The following is a 19343-nucleotide window of genomic DNA, read 5'->3' on the forward strand; positions in this document are numbered from 1 at the left end:
TGCTTATTCTTAGCAAGAGGAGAAAAAATTGAGGGCAAAATTTTGTGGAAATTTAATTTGCCTCATTTGTCCACAGTAGGTAAGTATGGCAACTGTATGCAAAATGCAGCAGCCACGCATTTCATCAGTGATAATATGTGACTAGACTTTCTACCCTCTCTGTTTGTTTTTGTTTTTGTTTGGTAGAGGTAGCACCTCCCAGTGTTGCTCAGGCTGTTCTTGAACTCCTGGCCTCAAGGAATCCTCCTGCCTTGTCCTCCCAAAGTGCTGGGATTACAGATGTGAGCTGCCACACCTGCCTTTCTTCTCAATTTTTTAATCAATATAAATTATAAAATGTGGTTCACAACTAAGGTTGAAAAATATCTAGTCCTTCACCCCTTACCCCTTCTCATTCCCCAAACCCTGTGAATCTACTGTAAAATGAATTCATAAACCAAGAGTCATTGCTTTTTTATTCTACTGCTTACATTTTACTTGGCAAACACAGAAAGAAGTTGGGTAGTACCTCATGGAAGAACAAAAAAGAAGAACCCTGGGGAACAATTTCTGGGAGTATATCATACCACATGAAATCTGGAAAACTCCTTCATTCTCATCTGTCTTTTTTCCATTCTAAATCAACACACTAATTGGATAAAATTTTGCCCAGTTAACTTATACTTCCTGCAAATATTACTTCAAGGATCTCACTTAAAAATGTAAAATAATTAAATCCCCCCACAAAAAGAAATAATTTAAAAATATACAAAGGTATTTGATACATTTTATTCTTATTCTCTCAAAATTATTATATTTTGAGCAGAATTATTATATTGAAATTCTGTATTTTCCTTACTTAGCATTGCACTGGGAATAAGCTGGACACCATCTGTTTGATTCAATTGTTTACCTCAAAGGGGAAGTAAGTTCTAGAAAACAACTCTGAAAAACTGTGTAGATGAACTTTCTGATTCTACGACATAGAATAAGGAGCTATATAGAGAATTCTTAGAACTATGTCATAGAATCAGAAAATGTATAAGGCAGAATTCTTAGAATTATGTTGCAATCAGATGAACTGACATACTCTTTTTTTTTTCCTTTTTGCCTCTTCGCTTTACAATCAAGTTAAACCAATTTACCTTGACTGTGTTTGCACTATTCCTACTTCATCTTTATTGAGTAATTATGTTCCTTCTCATGACAACAAAACTACATTTTGAAACCTTCTCATTTAAAGCAGGTACACAAGACAAGACAGACACCGATCTCCAGTGCAGAGGTGCATTGGACAATGTGACAAGGGACGCAGTGGTAATTATAAAAGATCTGTTGACATTATGTCTTTTCTAAATCCCATTAGAATGATGCATTTTAAACTTATTATTTGATCAGGATGAGGAGAGTAAGATAATTAAAATCTTTACAGTACCTATATTTCATATACTAAAACACAGTAACAATATGTGAGAATTATATTTCAAGCATTGGGTCATTTCTGTGTCTTATAAGTCTCTTTGCTATTTAAGAACCCATGGTATTTTTTTATTTCTATTTCTATTTCAAATATTAAAATGTTTATACCCATATGTCTATTTCAGAAGAGGTATTGTAAAATGATTTAAAATTTTGTGGTCCCTTAATAAATTCTATATAAAAAGCATAGATTAAAGTGGTCAGGACTATTTAAAAACCAGTATTTGTGTGTATGTATATGTGTGTATTTTAAGAGAGTGAATATCCATGAAACATATCCTCATAAACTGGCCTAACTGGTCTTCATAGAAAAGCATTATTTTCACGCTATTTTATCTATAGAATTAATTGTTTTGCATAGTCATAGAATTTTCTATATACAAGAATCCCCAGTGCCCATCTTCCTACAAGTTAAATAATGCATAAGTGTATCCTGAAAAATGCTAGAATATCTCTCTTCAGAGAACCCATGTAAATAAATTAGCTCATATTCTTGGAAAACAGCCTTGCTGTGTCTGTGTGTTCTCCTTCACCACACCTGGACAGACCTCAACTCGTAAACAAACATCCTAAGATCTTAAGTATAATTAGTGCAACCAAAACACTTGAATATCAATATTATTCTTTTTAATTGCATTAGCTTAAAATATTGTATCTTTTTGTTGTCTAAGAACCAGAGCCCTATGGTTTTCTCTTAATGTTAAATTGTCTATAATAATGAGTCAAAGTCATATTAGAAAATATTAGTACTCACATGGCCATTATCTATTATGCCCCATTGATGAACGCTTTGGGAGGGTGATGTTAAATCTTCTTCTATTTTATTTAGGAATCTCATTGGATATCATAGCACAGTCTACACATTTCAGTGTCTCCTGGGTGGCAGACCTCACAGAATGAAGCCAGGAGCCTTATGCTGAGAGAATAGGAATGTTCAATGGGTTCTTCCTTCATCAAGAAAAAAAGCACCCAGAAAACAAATAGCTAACAGCCATCTTGAAGCTATCTTGTGTGCTTGTCTCAGTAAAAAAACTAAACAGAAGGAGGAAAAAACAAACTTGACATGGTTAAAAAGCAGAGGCTGCTCATCTGGATTTATCTTGCGTTATGCTTTTTTAATCAAAAATTCTTCAAAGCTTACTGATTGTTTGGTTCATGAGGTGAAGGGCCTGTATCTTCAAAGAAAGAAGAGGCAAGATCTGCTAAAAGAGAAAGCCTCTCGTGATGATGTACTTACTGCCACTCAGACCAGAAAAGATTCTGGCCCTGATGCAGTTAATCACTTGGGCCATGAGTTGGTCACTGCTGTATCCTACGGAGAGCCTGAACAAGTAGAACTTTTGTTGAGTCATTCAACTGTAGAATTTCTGCTTCAAAGGCAACAAAGTCCTTTCCTCCAAGATATTAAAACATAGACTAACCAGGAATGATTTATGTATTTTAAGATACAAATAATACGGATTTTTTTAACACTATTACTAAATTATGTTTAAGGTCTTTGAGTTTAAAACTGTTAGGAGGACTCTCAGGCTATATAAATTACACAGGGCTCTCGGAGATCACAAACTGTCTAAAGAAAAAGGGTCATGAGGAAGGCACCATCTCTCCCCATGTTTTCATGACTGAATTTCCATAATTTATTTAGTTTCTACCAATGACAGAAGGCGGGTGGAGGAAGGAACAAGAAAGCTATCTTAAAAGGAGATACAACAGAGTAAATATTTTCCCAGTTAGAATCTTAGTGACTTTGAGGGGATTAAAAGAACCTACTGTGAATAATTATACATCAATAACTTGGATAATCCAGAAAAAGTATATAAATTCCTAGAAACATACAACCTATCAACTGAATCATGAATATAAAATCTGAACAGTTCATTAACTATTAAGGAGATTAAATCAGTAATTAAAAGCCTCCCAAAAAAGAAAAGCCCAGATGAGATGGTTGCACTGGAGAATTACACAAAACAATAAAAAAAAATAGTGCTAATTCTTCTCAGAATTTTCTAAGAAATAGAAGAGAAGAGAACATTTCCATACTTATTTTATGAGGCCAGCATTGTGGTGATAGGGATACCAAAGCTAGACAAGGACTACAAGAAAAGAAAACAACAGGCCAATATCCCTAGTGAACACAGATGCAAAAATTCACAACAAAATACTAACAAAGCAAATTTAACAGCATATTAAAAGTATCATACATCATGACGAAGAGGGATCTATTCCTGGGTTGCAGGGATGGTTCAACATACCAAAAGCAAATCAATGTAATACACCACATTAGTAGAATAAAGAGTGATCATCTCAATAGATGCAGGGGGTAAAAAAGTATTTTACTAAATTCAACCCCTTTTCATGATAAAAACACTTAACAAACTAGGAATAGAAAAATTACTTCAACATAATAAAGGCCATATGTGAAAAACCCAGAGCTAACAACATACTCAAAGGTGAAAAACTAAGAGCTCTTCCTGGATAATCAGGAACAAGGTATTAATGCTCACTCTTGCCACTTCTATTCAAGATAGTATTGGAAGTCCCAGCTAGAGCAATGAAGTAAGAAAGATAAATAAAATGCATCAAAGCCAGCAAAAAGTAAAAAAAATCTCTGTTTGCAGATGGCTTGATTTTATATGTAGAAAACCCTAAAGACTCCATAGCAAAAAAAAAAAAAAAAAAAAGTTGGAACTAATAAGCAAAAAAGTTGCAGGATACAAAGTCAACATACAAAAACAATTGTTTTTTTTTTTATTCCTGAAAAAAAGATATTAATAGTTTGATAAGGATTGCATTGAATCTGCTGATTGCTTTAGATAGTTTGGACATCTTAACAATATTAAGCATTCCAATTTGGAAACACAGGATGCCTTTCTATTTATCTGTGTCTTATTTAATCAGTATATAAGTTTTCAGTATATAGGTCTTTCAACTCCTTGGGTAAGTTTATCACTAACTGTTTTATTATTTTTGTTGATATTATAAATAAAATTGGTTTAATTTTTTATTTTTTTATTGTATATATCCATATGCAAAAGATTGAAACTGGATCCTTATCTTACACACAAAAATCAACTCATAATAGATTAAAGACCTAAACATAAGACCTGCAACTGTAAAATGCCTAAAATAAAACACAGGTGAAAAGCTTTAAAACATTGCTCTTGGCAATGATTTCCTGAATACGACACCAAAAGTACAGAAAAGAGGAAAATTGGACAAATAAGACTACATTAAACTAAAAAGCATATGTGCAGTAAAGGAAATGAGTGAAAAGGCAATCTATGGAATGAGAGAAAATATATGCAAACCATATATCTTATAAGAAATCAATAACCAAAATATATAAAAAACTCCATAACTCAATGGCAGAAACACAACTTGATTAAAAAGCGGGCAAAGAACTTGTTTAGACATTTGTTCCAAGAAATACAAATGGCCAACAAGTATATAAAAAGATGATCAATATCAGTAATCAAGCAAGGAAATGCAAATCAAAACCACAAGGAGGAGGGAAAGCAATGCGATATCAACCGACACCTGTTACGATGGCCATAACCAAAACACAAAATAACAACTGTCAGCAAGGATGGGAAGACATTGGAACCCTTGTGCACTTTTGGTGAGAATGTAAAATGGTGCAGCCACTGTGTGAAACAGTATGGAGGTTCCTCAAACAATTAAAAATAGAACTACCATATGATTCAGTATTTACCATGTGATTTCTGGTATTCACCCAAAGGAACTGAAAACTAGGACCCTGAAGAGGCATCTGCACTTCTGTGTTCGTTGCAGCATTACTCGCAATAGCCAAAGGGCAGAAACAACCTGTGTCCATTGACAGATAAATGGAAAAAGAAAATGTGGTATGTACATACAATGAAATATTATTCTTCCTTAGAGAAATAGGAACATCTTGTTATATGCTACAACATAAACCTTGAGGATATCATGCTAAGTGAAAGAAACCAGTCACAGGAGACAAACATTGCATGATTCCACTTCTATGAGGTACCTAAAATGATCAAGTTCATATAAGTAGAAAGTAGAACAGTAGCTGACAGGGGATAATAGGGCATAGGGAAGATAGGGAGTTGCTGTTCAATGGGTAGAGAGTTTCAGTCACGCAAGGTGAAAAAAGTTCTAGAGATCTTCCCTACAACAATGTTCATATTATTAACAATAGAGTCCTGCACACTTAGCAATTTGTTAAGAGGATAAATTACATGTTATGTTTTTTTTTAAATCTCAATCAAAGGAAAGAAAAAAAGAATCTTAGTGATTTTTAGAGCAGTGATTATTTCCCTGAATTATTTCCATGTTCACCCCATCATTAAAAAAAGAAAAATCCTTGGTTGTTCATTCAACCACAGAGAAGTGGTTATAAATCCCAACATATTGGTACTTTACTGTTAACACTGACTTGAGCAGACATCACTCATGATAATTCCTGTGTTTGCCATTTGCATTGTATCACCCTGACTTGTCCTGGTACGCACCAGCACCACTCTGCTCACTTGTTAATACACACATTTTCCACTGCACATGTTGGTTACAGGTCACTTTTTCCTTAAATTTAATTGCAACACTTAAGCATGGACTAACCAGGACTCATGTTTTTATTAATACATTTTTAAGAACCCATGATTGATATTCTTTTAGCCCTGGGGATGGGGATATGAAAAAAAACAAGAATCATGAAGTGGTCCAGAAAATTGCTCTGGACCATCCTGATTTCTCTCCTGTATTAATTCCTATTGAACTTACTATCCTTTCTATTGAATTTTAGTGCAGAATTGCTTTCTGATAGTGTCTATCTTTATTCTCTTTCCCCATTAAATCATCTCACTGTTACCTTACTTTCTAACACCACTTCCTGCACAGGTGTTGTGTGTCCCATAATCTCATTGCTTGAGTGATTTGAACTAATTTAACTCACATGACTGACAGTTCAGTGGAGGGTGTCCTTTTGACAGGGTGGAGAAGAAGCTTGACTGTAATATTGCTCAGCTGTACTGCTATGGACCTCATTTAAGACCACAAACACTTTTTCAATGATTTATTTAACTTTTTGAACAGATAATATATTCACAAAGCTCAAAAACTAAAAAGCACAAAAAGATGTGTGCTGCAATGTTTCCAACCTATTCTTGTTTGCCGTCTGCCTTTCATCCTCGCTCTACCCTCCATCCAGGTGACCCTGGGATGTAGACAGCAGTACCTAAAGTTTCCCAGACGCTTCTAAAGCAGAACATTGTTGTTTTCAGTTGTAAACAAGGAGGAGCCTGGTGTGATTTCAGGTTCCAGTTTCCAGATGTCGCCTCTCTGTCAGGGATCAAAACCACTTACAGTGCCAATTTCACTTGTCAAGCAATCAAACACTAAATAAACAAACCAAATGGATACTGAACACCCACGAGGTCTGTTTGTGTTATAGATTATGGAGAGGATAGGGATAAACAAGTAAATTATTAATCTTGAAACAGATATGTGGAAAACCATATCTACATTAAATTGTCAATAAAACTGCATTTTCTAATTAAGCAGGTGTGAGATTTCCATATATGCATTCACCCCCAACAACATATTTATTTAGGACTTGGCAGAAGTTTAGGTGTCATCAATGAGAATCCACTCATTTAACTAATGAGAAAACTGAAGTTCAGAGATGCATCAGGGTTTATAATTAAGAATATGAAGAGTATGGATCCAGCCAGACTTGGTTTAATCCAAGCTTGTCCAACCCACGGCCCACAGGCCCCATGCAGCCCAGGATGGTTTTGAATGCAGCCCAACACAAATTCTTAAAGTTTCTTAAAACATTATAGATTTTTTTGCAACATTTTTTAAGCTCATCAGCTATCGTTAGTGTATTTTATATGTGGCCCAAGACAATTCTTCTTCTTCCAATGTGGTGAAGGGAAACCAAAAGATTGGACACCCCTGGCTTAATCCTACCACTTAGCAGCTGTGTGACATTAGACAAACTACATAACTCCTATGTGCTTAAATCTTCCCATCTGCAAAATGGAAATAAGAATATATCCTTCATAAGACTGTAGTGATTAAGTGAGTTAACATATGTAAATAGCTAAGAAGGATGCTTGACATAGAATAAGCACCATAGAAGTGCAAGCTGTTATAGGTTAAGTGTCTTGTGAAAGATGAGAACAGCTGGGAGAGTCTAGAGAGGGTTACATGCTGATAAAATGATGTACTGAATTATCCATTACAAAGCATTAGAGGAAAATAAAATTCATAATAAGGTAATGTGCACATTGCACACGTGAAAAAAGAATTTAAGAAGGCTGGAGTAAAATAAGCAAATTACACTGATTTAGCTCATAAACAAGGAAATAAAAAAATCAATAAGGTGGACAAATAAGTAGGCTCTCATAAGCATCACTGGGCCAGGACAAAGGTCTCAGAGACTCCAAATCTACTCAGTTCTGGAAATGCTTCCTTTATTTATTTATTTATTTTTAATTTTCTGAGGGAAAATACAGAATGAAAAGGACGTATACTCACAGGTAAGTGCCAAATGTTTTGATAGGAAAACATTTTAAACACTAATTGACTTTGAATCACGTTTGAGTAAATTTTGGTCTTCATTGTATTTAAGTGATAGTCTAATTACTACCTATGATTTCAGAACTTTTACCAAATAAGAAAATAAAAACAATTAGCTATTGCTCATCTTTTTCTATGTGAGTGCTAACATAAATTTTTAAAATATAAAACAAAGTGAAAGATTAGTATAATTTTGCTTTTCATTTTAAAATAAATATAGCTTTCCGTTTAAACTGTCTTCAGATACATTTCTCTCAGTATCTAAAACAATTACTAAACAAGATACGTTTCAAAGTAAGAAGTCATGCTTTTATTAAAGAGAAAATGGATAATAATGTTCACAAGTACCACTGATTCACAATTTCTAGATTAGTTATATTTAAGTGATTGAACAACAAATAAGGAAAGTCTTAAAAATAAATATTTTTCTGCAGAAAATACACAAATATATTCCACTCTTGAGAGATCTCACCTTTGCATAATATAAGACACTCATCTGATGCAGTTAGCCTATAGATCCTTTAATGACCTTACAGCCAAATCTAATCAAGCTTAGATTGCAACAGAAAGTAAAGGACACACTCCTATTTTATCAAAATGTGAATGCTGAGAAAAAGAGAAGAGGGAATAATATGCCTTTTAAATTTATGATAAGATAATTAGCAACCTTGCTAATGTAGTTCTTCAAACATTAAATCCTCGTTTTCATTCTTCTTCCCTACCAAATTTAATATACTATGAGAACTCTTTAGCTTAATTATGAAAATAATAATAATAGAGTTAAGGGTCTGTCAATCCAGCTTAAGCCCCTATCTAGAATTTAGAACCTGGCATCCTAATTAAACTGCAAATACTTTATTTACAAAGTTATTGTTTATACATTGTAATGAATTAATCTGATTGAATCTCTGACTGATTATGGGCTACCATGTATATTTTCAAAGCAATGAGAGGGGCATACAATTGCATTTCCAACATTCAGTCGCTCAGCATAATTAGAGAAAGTAACTATAGACGTCAATAATCAATGTGCACTTGCACCCTGGAGACCTGGGCACCATTACGATTCCAGGAACCTCTTTGAGTTGTCATTTTAATTATTTGCATATTAAGATCTCTGCAGGCAGGCAATACTTCAAAAGATAGGCCAAAACAGCTCCTTCAAATGTTATTAAGTTCAACATTGCCAAATATATTTTAGTTGCCAATTTTGAAAACCAAAGAGATTATTTAAAGTCTATCACAAAACTGTTACAGTGAGAAGACTGAGTTAACTACCTGTGACCCTAGGCCATCAGTGCAGACCTGGGGTTGCTGAAGATTTGGAAAAGTGAATCAAAATTTTTTTTTCTGGAAAAAATAATAAAAAGTAACAATACCTACCATCATACAACTACAATAAAATAAATGCTTTACAAATAATGTCAAATAATAGATACTCCATAAATTCTGGTGAATCTTTGTTATTATAAGTAGTAGCAGAGGCAACATCAACATTCACATTCCTGATTCCCATAGCACTGCTTTTTCTATGAATTAATGTTGTTTCCTCAACTAGACTGAAGAATTAATAAAAAGTCCTATTTTACCTTAAGTACAAAGTGTTTTGTCTACATGCTAATTAAGTACGCCAAATTGTTTTCTATGCTTCTAGAAGACAAATAATGATTTATGGGTCCTAAAGAGCACTTGGAATAGTGCTGGATCCACAGTAAATGTCCAGTAATTGGTTATTTATTGCTTGATATAAGTAAGCACACAAAATGAAGGATTCAATGTTAAAGAATCAAACAGAGATTTATGAGTGTGATCAAACAGAGTTACTATGTTGGAGGTAAATTTAATTCTTGTATATTTCAAATATATGTCAAATATTTCTGGGACATTTTGAATTGACTTTCCTCTCTGTGAATGGCAACACTACCCAACATCTATGGTAAGCCTCATTTTCTCTTATCCCCAACAATGCCTCACACACACAATGAACAAGAAATGAGAAACAATGTGGTCAGGCTTTCTGTCATAAAATCTGATTATAGAGCAGGATTTGCTATGCAGAAGAATTTAGAGGAAGTCAGAGCCACAAAGTGTGGCTGTGCCACCAAACTACATTTTTTTCACACACAAAAAAGAGAAAGTAGAATAAGAGGCTGAATGGAAAGGAGAAATAACATAGACAGTACTGAGTACTTGTTAACATCCAATATATAAAAGAGCTACCTGAATAAACAGAGAAAAATATGACTATAGTATTATTATTGCTACAATTCAAACCCTTTGAGTGTGTGTGTGTGTGTGTGTGTGTGAAAAATAGATACACAAAAATATCAAATGTGGCTATTTATAGATCTTAAATACTTAAAGGGTATGATTATTACACCTTGGCTCCTTCTCACTCACATTTTAAAGATGTAGGGAAAGGTGATGCCTAAAAAGACTACCATTCCTAAAATCTTATGATTTCACAATTTTCTGCATAGAAGTAGTTGCTTTTAAAACTCTAGTATGTATTTGAGCTGTATGACTCCCTGAGAATGGAATATGCTAGGATCCAGTAAAGGGATATTGAGGTTTGGCCTAAGGGCTAAACAAATAAATACGTTGAGGCCAGAGGCATAGTCAAAGGTTAGCTCCTTGGTAAGAAAATAGATAATCCCCCTCTGAAAACTCCAGGTGAATCTAGGGCCCAGAAAAAAATACCCACTTCTCCAGGGTCATGCAAGGCTAAAACAGACCAGCCTAGGAGCATGGATACAAACTGGACTAGCAAGCACCACAACCTCAGAAATTAGAATTTGGTGAGGCAGCTTTTCATTAGTAAGATGAATAACAAGAGGGAATACTTGTTTTAAAATTGCATCAAGCTAACTGAAAAAGAAAGATTAGGTGCAGGCATCCACAATTTGTTATTATGTTTTTCAATCTTGGAGACCGGAATTCTCCTGTGCTTTGAATTAACAGCACGCAAGTGATACACTATAGAGAAGAAAAGTCAAAAAATTAGTAAATCAATAGGGCTGCCTTTATATAACTTGCCACCATAATTTTTCCCTGGATGCTTCCAACGTATCTATAGTTTTGTTTATTCATTTGGCAAAATAGGGCACCCACATCCTTGGCACAGTTCATGGGCTTGAATTGTAACCGGGAAGAAGACAAATATAATTCCTGCTGTGATACTGTGATTTAAAATGAGATATATACATTTGGTCTTCACTCCCTTCTCCTGACATATAACTCTTAAAATCTTTGAAATCTCTGGAGTGATAAGAATATCATTTGTATGCTAATGAATGTTTGCTGGCTGGCAGCCTCTAGATAGCTTCAGAATGGGGGCCAGTCACCAAGACCAAGACAGAATTAGAGGGTTAAAACTTTCAGCCCCACCACCAACATCCAAGTAGGTGAGAAAGGCTGAAAGCTAAGTTGATAACCAATGACCAATGATTTAATCAATCAGGCCTATGTAATGAAGCTTCCATAATAACTCAAAAGGACTGGAGTCAGGGAGCTTCCTGACAGCTGAACATGTGGAGGATCCCAGAGAGAGTATGGCAGCTCTGTGCCCCTTCTTCCGTACATCTTCATCTGACTGTTTATCTGTATCCTTTGTAATATTCTTTATAATAATCAAGCCAAATGTAAAGTATTAAGTGTTTCCCTGACTTCTGTGAGCTGCTCTCGCAAATTAATGGAACCCAAGGATGGGGTCTACAGCCAGTCAGTCAAAACCTGTGCTTGCAACTGGCATTGGAAGTCGGTCGGGAGGCACTCTTCTGAAAATGATCCTTCAACTTAAGGGATCTAACACTTTCTGCTGCTAGACTGTGTCTGAATTGACTTAAATTAGAGAACACTTGGCAGGTGTCTGTTGGAGAACTGCTGGCTTGATGTTTGGGGGAAAACCCCCACACATCTCATGTTAGAGGTATTGTGTTGGCTCTGCAAGAGTAGGAAAGCCACTTTGACTCTTCCCACATATCTTACATCTGCTCTCATGGAAATTACAGTGGCTATAGACAGAGAATGAATTCTTAAACTTAAGAAAAACAATATAGTTTCAGAGAGTGATCCATGATTGGAGCTGTAAAGAAACCAGAAGATGTGGTTGAGAGGGACTGGGGGAAGGGAAAGAGGGGCCACAGGTTGGTGGATTCTTTAATTAGATGGGCTAATTGGAACATCCTCACTAAAAAGGTAGCATCTGAGCTGAGAGTGAAATGACAAGAACAAGCTAGTCATGTAATCTTCTGGGGACAGTTTTACAAATAAAAGTAAAAACAAGTATGAAAGCCCCAACTAGGAACAACTTAAAGTATGTAAGAAAAGCAAAGACAGGTAAAGCCAATGAGCCAGTGAAGGAAAGTGAGGTATGATGCAGCCTGGAGTCACAGATCATTTGGCCTGAAAAAGGAGTTGAAATTTAGACATTAGATGAAAAGACTATTCTAGCCATCTTGCTACTAGATGATGGTGGCCTGACTAATGCATCACCTGTGAAAATGAAAAGACCCATATAAATTCGGGATACATTTTGGAAGTGACCCTAAGTAATCCTTCAATTGTTGGGGTGATTATGTATGTTTGTGTTTTAAAGTGCGGTTCAGTGAGGGATCAGATGACTCCTAGGTGTATTTCGCTTGAACAACAAGGCATATACTAATGATATCTATTGAGAAGAAACTTCGGCAGAAATTATGAACTAGAAAATGGAGAATGGATAGCTCTGTTTTGGTCTTGAGAAGTTTGAGATAGCTCTTAGACATCCCAGTGGAAAGGTCAAGCAGAGGGTTTTTTACATAAATTAGGAGCTCATTGCAGAGATCAGGATTAGAGATATACATTTGGGATTCATCAGCATTTAGATGGCATTAAACGCCACAGTACTGAATCACCTTCAGAAAGATTACAGTCTTTCAGACCAGCATTTGGAAGCCAACAGAGCAGAAGTCAGCAAGAAAGGCCAAGAAGAGCAGTAGGTATGGAGGAGAACATAGCATCATGATGCCACAGCAGAAAGTGTTTGAAGAAGAAAAGAACTGTCAACTTTGTGACTTGCTACCGCTGAGTAAAAAAATGAGGACAGAAATGTGATCACTGGATTTGGCGCATAGTGACCTTGGTAACAGTCTATTCAATCAAGAATGGCAAATAGCCTGGAAGAAACTGTTGAGGTCGATGCGTATGATACAATGAATTAAAATACATCAATATTTCTAGCAAAGAAATACTATCATTTTTACCTATACTTCAATTCATCCCTGATTTCATGAATATCACAATATAGAATTTGGTTATAATTTATTGTTTCATAGCAGTTAGTTTTTTGAAGCTGTGAAAACTCACAATAATTAGCAGCAAATAATTAATGTGCTTATAAAATACTCTGGGGAAATATGCCCTGACACTTAGTATCCCAAATGGCATTACTCTTAAAAGCAATACATGTGACCCTCTGGCTATAATAGTAAAAAATAATTTTTAAAAATGAAGAACAAAGTAAACTCTTTTAAAGACTTACTTTCAAATGTCACAATAGCAATAAATTATTGATTTCCACATCTAAAATTAATGTTTTTATTTATTTATTTATTTAGTTTTTTAATTGATCGTTCTTGGATGTTTCTCACAGAGGGGGACTTGGCAGGGTCATAGGACAACAGTGGAGGGAAGGTCAGCAGATAAACAAGTGAACAAAGGTCTCTGGTTTTCCTAGGCAGAGGACCCTGCGGCCTTCCGCAGTGTTTGTGTCCCTGGGTACTTGAGATTAGGGAGTGGTGATGACTCTTAACGAGCATGCTGCCTTCAAGCATCTGTTTAACAAAGCACATCTTGCACCGCCCTTAATCCATTTAACCCTGACTGGACACAGCACATGTTTCAGAGAGCACAGGTTTGGGGGTAAGGTCACAGATCAACAGGATCCCAAGGCAGAAGAATTTTTCTTAGTACAGAACGAAATGAAAAGTCTCCCACGTCTACTTCTTTCCACACAGACAGGGCAACCATCCGATTTCTCAATCTTTTCCCCACCTTTCCCCGCTTTCTATTCCACAAAACCGCCATTGTCATCATGGCCCGTTCTCAATGAGCTGTTGGGTACCCCTCCCAGACGGGGTGGTGGCCGGGCAGAGGGGCTCCTCACTTCCCAGTAGGGGCGGCCGGGCAGAGGCACCCCTCACCTCCCGGACGGGGCGGCCGGGCAGAGGCACCCCTCACCTCCCGGACGGGGCGGCTGGCCGGGCGGGGGGCTGACCCCCCCCACCTCCCTCCCGGACGGGGCGGCTGGCCGGGAGGGGGCTGAACCCCCCGCCTCCCTCCCAGATGGGGCGGCTGGCCTGGCGGGGGCTGACCCCCACCTCCCTCCCAGACGGGGTGGCTGCCGGGCGGAGGGGCTCCTCACTTCTCAGACGGGGCGGCTGCCGGGCGGAGGGGCTCCTCACTTCTCAGACGGGGCGGTTGCCAGGCGGAGGGTCTCCTCCCTTCTCAGACGGGGCGGCTGGGCAGAGACGCTCCTCACCTCCCAGACGGGGTCGCGGCCGGGCAGAGGCGCTCCTTACATCCCAGACAGGGCGGTGGGGCAAAGGCGCTCCCCACATCTCAGAAGATGGGTGGCCGGGCAGAGACACTCCTCACTTCCTAGATGGGATGGCGGCCGGGAAGAGGTGCTCCTCACTTCCTAGATGGGATGGCGGCCGGGCAGAGACCCTCCTCACTTTCCAGACTGGGCAGCCAGGCAGAGGGGCTCCTCATGTCCCAGACGATAGGCGGCCAGGCAGAGACGCTCCTCACTTCCCAGACGGGGTGGCGGCCAGGCAGAGGCTGCACTCTCGGCACTTTGGGAGGCCAAGGCAGGCGGCTGGGAGGTGGAGGTTGTAGCGAGCCAAGATCACGCCACTGCACTCCAGCCTGGGCACCATTGAGCACTGAGTGAACCAGACACCGTCTGCAATCCCGGCACCTCGGGAGGCCGAGGCTGGCGGATCACTCGCGGTTAGGAGCTGGAGACCAGCCCAGCCAACACAGCAAAACCCCGTCTCCACCAAAAAAATACGAAAACCAGTCAGGCGTGGTGGCACGTGCCTGCAATCGCAGGCACTCGGCAGGCTGAGGCAGGAGACTCAGGCAGGGAGGTTGCAGTGAGCCGAGATGGCAGCAGTACAGTCCAGCTTCGGCTTGGCATCAGAGGGAGACCGTGGAAAGAGAGGGAGAGGGAGACCGTGGGGAGAGGGAGACCGTGGGGAGAGGGAGAGGGAGAGGGAGAGGGAGAGGGGTAATTTTGTATTTTTAGTAGAGATGGGGTTTCTCCATGTTGATCAGGACAGTCAAACTCCCAAACTCAGGTGATCCGCCCGCCTCGGGCTCCCAAAGTGCGGGGATTACAGGCATGAGCCACTGTGCCCGGCTAACTCAGGATTTTTCCCTTTGCTGATGTAGCCTGACAGCAGGAGGGAGCCTATAATAATGAGAAAGGCGCGAATCAAAAACAGCACAGTGGCAAGTGCGATGGCCTTATAAGGGATCTTAGGAGGGGTTTTCTTAAACTGAAGGTCCATGTAGCCATCGTCTGTGCTGGAGAGCCTTGAATATTTCACTTTACTACTGGGGATTCCAGTAGCCAGGTTGGTACGGGACGGCATCATAACAGGCTGACACAGCGGAGCGCCGCGCCAGGCCGCCCGCACACCCAGAGCTCGCCCACGGTTGGCAGCGCCCAAGGTTGCACGGCATGGCCCGCTTAAGTGCCACTCAGCCCTAATGTTTTTATTTATGAAGTAACTTAACTTTTGGTAACATAATATATAACTTCTCTTTCACAGATTATTTTATTTTTTTAGAATTCTAGAGTTTGAATGAATCCAATTAAGTGTGCTCTGTGTGTCTTCTCAGCCTGCCCTTAGCAAGACTCACAATGTGAGTTCTGTTCTACTTGCTATCAGGAGAAACCGCACAGGAACCCAAAGAATACTGCCTGCTGGAAAAAAAAAAAAAAAAAAAAAAAAAAAAAAAGCTCATTTCTTCACAAAGTCTCTGGCTGTGGCAAATAGAACACACCATCCGTTTATAGAGTCTGCTAATTGGCACTAGGGCATTGTCTGGGCTTGCACTTCTTTACTGGCAAATGCAGCTCATTTTTATTTATGCTCTTCAATAGATTCAGCTACCAATACATACAGATTTGGATTATGAAAAATTATCTAGGCAGGTAAAAGGAATTGAAATTTCAGACAGTTCAGTGGATTAGGAGGGAGGGTGAGGTAGGCCCAAACTACCTTGAAGAAGGAGTATTTTGTGAAAATGAGCCAAGCCCCATGTTCACTTTTGAATAATAAAAACACTCATCCACATGCCGACATGACACAGGGATTTTATTGTGAATTGTCACACACGGTAGTTTTATTAGTACCTATTCAACACTAAGCTAATTTAAAAGCACTTGAAACCTTGGGCAGACGTTTTTAAATGAAAAAAAAAAAAGTTCAAAAAGCTCTGCATCATATACTATCTACTATAAATAAAATAAGACTCAGTTCTTCTGAGCCCTGAAACACATTCATTTCCACATGAGCTGCCTGCACCAAGGATCACTTTCATCATTCTCTAGGGCAACACAGTTCCCTGTTCTGTCAGAACTTTATGGCATTCACCCTTTTGCCTAGTTTTCACTGCTTGGTCCATTTATAATACATCTCCTCCCATACTAGATTCCTATAAGAGGTCTCATTTAATTTCTTTTAAAATTAAATTAATACAATTAACTTTGAAAAACTGGTAGTCTTTACTAAATCTCAACATAAGCATACTCCATGGCCTAGACTTTTCACTCTTAAGTATAGACCCAGCAGAAAAAACGACACACACATCCACCAAAAGACATGCACTAAAGTGTTCGTAGCAGCGCTATTTATTTGTATTACTTTTATTTTTATGTTTTATTTTTGTGGGCATATAGTAGGTGTATATGTTTATGAGGTACATGAAATGTTTTGATGCAGGCATGCAATATGAAATAAGCACATCATGGAAAATGGGGTCTCTGTCTCCTCAAACATTTATCCTTTCGGTTACAAACAATCCAATTATACTCCTTAAGTTATTTATAAATGTACAATTAAGTTATTAAAACAAATATGTGTGGTCAAATAAAGAGTAGAATGGATAAAATTCTCACACAATGGAAACTGTAATACAATGAGAATGAACAATCTACAACTTCATGCAACAAGGATAAATCTCAATAATAGATTGTTGAGCCAAACATGTCAAATAACAGATCACAGTGAATTATTTCATTACATAAAGAACAAATACCTTATCCTGACTAATATACCAGGTCTGAGTAAAATAATTGGGAAATTTTAGCCAATGTAAACATGTCTAATTCCCTTTTTATAAGTACAAAACCAGTCACAATTAGACTATGTTCCTAGAAGAAAGTATTAGTTATCCTTACTGTGGGAGCTAATGAGTAGAGGGGGCTTGAGGGGCTTCTGAAACTCTGGTGTTATTCTTGCATCTGGGTACAGATTACACAAATGTGTTCAGTTTGTCAAAGTTCTTCAGAGTGTATAAATATGTTAAGATATGTACACATTTCTGTCTTTAGAATACAGTTTGAAAACAATTTTAAAACCCTTAAATTTCTAAAACTTGTTTTTAAAACATGGACGTTACACCTACCCTCATATTTGGACTGAATTTCCAGCCTTGTAACAAGAGAGCATTCTCCGGAATATGAATAGAACTGGTGGCAGACTATTCATGTCATGCGAACAGTTAGTTTGCTTTCTAAACTAGATTGTACTTTTCCCAAGAGCAGGAGCCATTTCTTTTGTGTCTGTTCATGTGTCTGTTTTGTGCACAGATGCACAGAGAAACAGCGTTCTGAGTGACGCTGATTGTTCACATTGAGTAGCAGTGGCGGGCAAGCAAAAAAGAGCAGGGCTGAAATTTGGAAGGCTTTAAATAATAACTGGTTTCCAAGTTTGGATGCCATCTTCTAGGCAACAGTCAACTGTAAAGATTTTGAGTGAGGCAATAACATAAGGAAAATATTATTTTAGGCATGCATACGTACTAGAATCGAGAAAATCAATGCCAGCAGACCAGTCAGCAGGCTTAGTTTAAGCCTAAACTAGAATGATCCTGGCACCAATGGAAAAGAGGGATGGGCATATATGAAAAAAAGTCAGACAAAAATAATCTATAGAGCTTTGAAAGTGATAGAGGTCAAGAGAGTTGTAAGTTCTAAAGTGATTGAGTTTTGCAGACTGAGTGAGAGCTTAATAGAGGAAGGAAAACCTTATGGATTAATTGATTTGGGAAGACACTGAAAAAATGACATAATGGGCCAGGTGCGGTGGCTCACACCTGTAATCCTAGCATTTTGGGAGTCCACGGTGGGCCGATCACCTGTGGGTCAGGAGTTCGAGATCCACCTGGCCAACATGGCGAAACCTCATCTCTACTAAAAATGTAAAAATCAGCCAGGCATGGTGGCAGGCACCTGTAATCACAGCTACTCCAGAGGGTGAGGCAGGGGGAACTGCTTGAACCCAGTAGGCAGAGGTTGCAGTGAGCCAATGTCGCACCACTGCACTCCAACTCCAGCTTGGGCGACAGAGTGAGATCCCGTCTCAAAAACAAACAAACAAACAAACAAAAAGACATAACGAATAGCCAAAGTTGGAGCTCAATGCAGAACTCATACAAAGTACAGGACTCAGATTTCATATATTAAATGTTTCTGTTTTCCTCAGGGTATTAAAAATACTAAAGAGGCACAGAGATATAGTGAGAAAGCATGAGAAGATTTAGAAATGCTAAACATCATCAAAATTAAAAACACTATTTCTGTGAAAGGATAGACTGAGAGGAAAATATTTTCAAATCACAAATCTGACAAAAGACTTGAATTCAGACTATATAAGGAATTCTCAAATGTCAACATTCAGAAAACCTACAAATCAATTTAAAAGTGGACAAAATAATTAAACAGACACTTCACCAAACAGGCTATATGGGGGCAAATAAACACAGGAAAAAAAGTTTAGCATTAGTCATCAGCAAAATGCAAAATAACACCACAATGAAATGCAAATTAACACCATGTTCTATACATATATTACAATGAATAAAATGAAAAACACTGATAGTACCAAGTCCCGACAAAGATGTGGAACAACTAGAACTCTAACACATTGCTGGTGAGAATGCAAAATGGTACAGTTCCTCTGGAAAACAGTTTGGCAGTATCCTATAAAATTAAATATATACTTACCATATGTCCCCAAGATTCTACTTTTAGATGTTTATCC

At 38.1% G+C, this 19343-nt stretch overlaps 1 protein-coding gene and 1 long non-coding RNA gene across 16 annotated transcripts in view; one reads left to right on the top strand and one right to left on the bottom strand.

Moving 5' to 3' along the window:
* NRXN1 (neurexin 1) overlaps window positions 1-19343 on the bottom strand; it is a 1113630-nt gene that overhangs the window by 895493 nt on the left and 198794 nt on the right. The gene's annotated exons all lie outside the window — the stretch shown is intronic.
* On the top strand, window positions 169-6733 carry LOC124906006 (uncharacterized). The gene is made up of 3 exons (XR_007086318.1): window positions 169-5077; window positions 5198-5321; window positions 6650-6733. It is a non-coding gene; the product is annotated as an uncharacterized LOC124906006 (long non-coding RNA).

Source organism: Homo sapiens, chromosome 2, assembly GCF_000001405.40.
Source record: "Homo sapiens chromosome 2, GRCh38.p14 Primary Assembly".
In the NCBI taxonomy this organism is placed as follows: domain Eukaryota; kingdom Metazoa; phylum Chordata; class Mammalia; order Primates; family Hominidae; genus Homo; species Homo sapiens.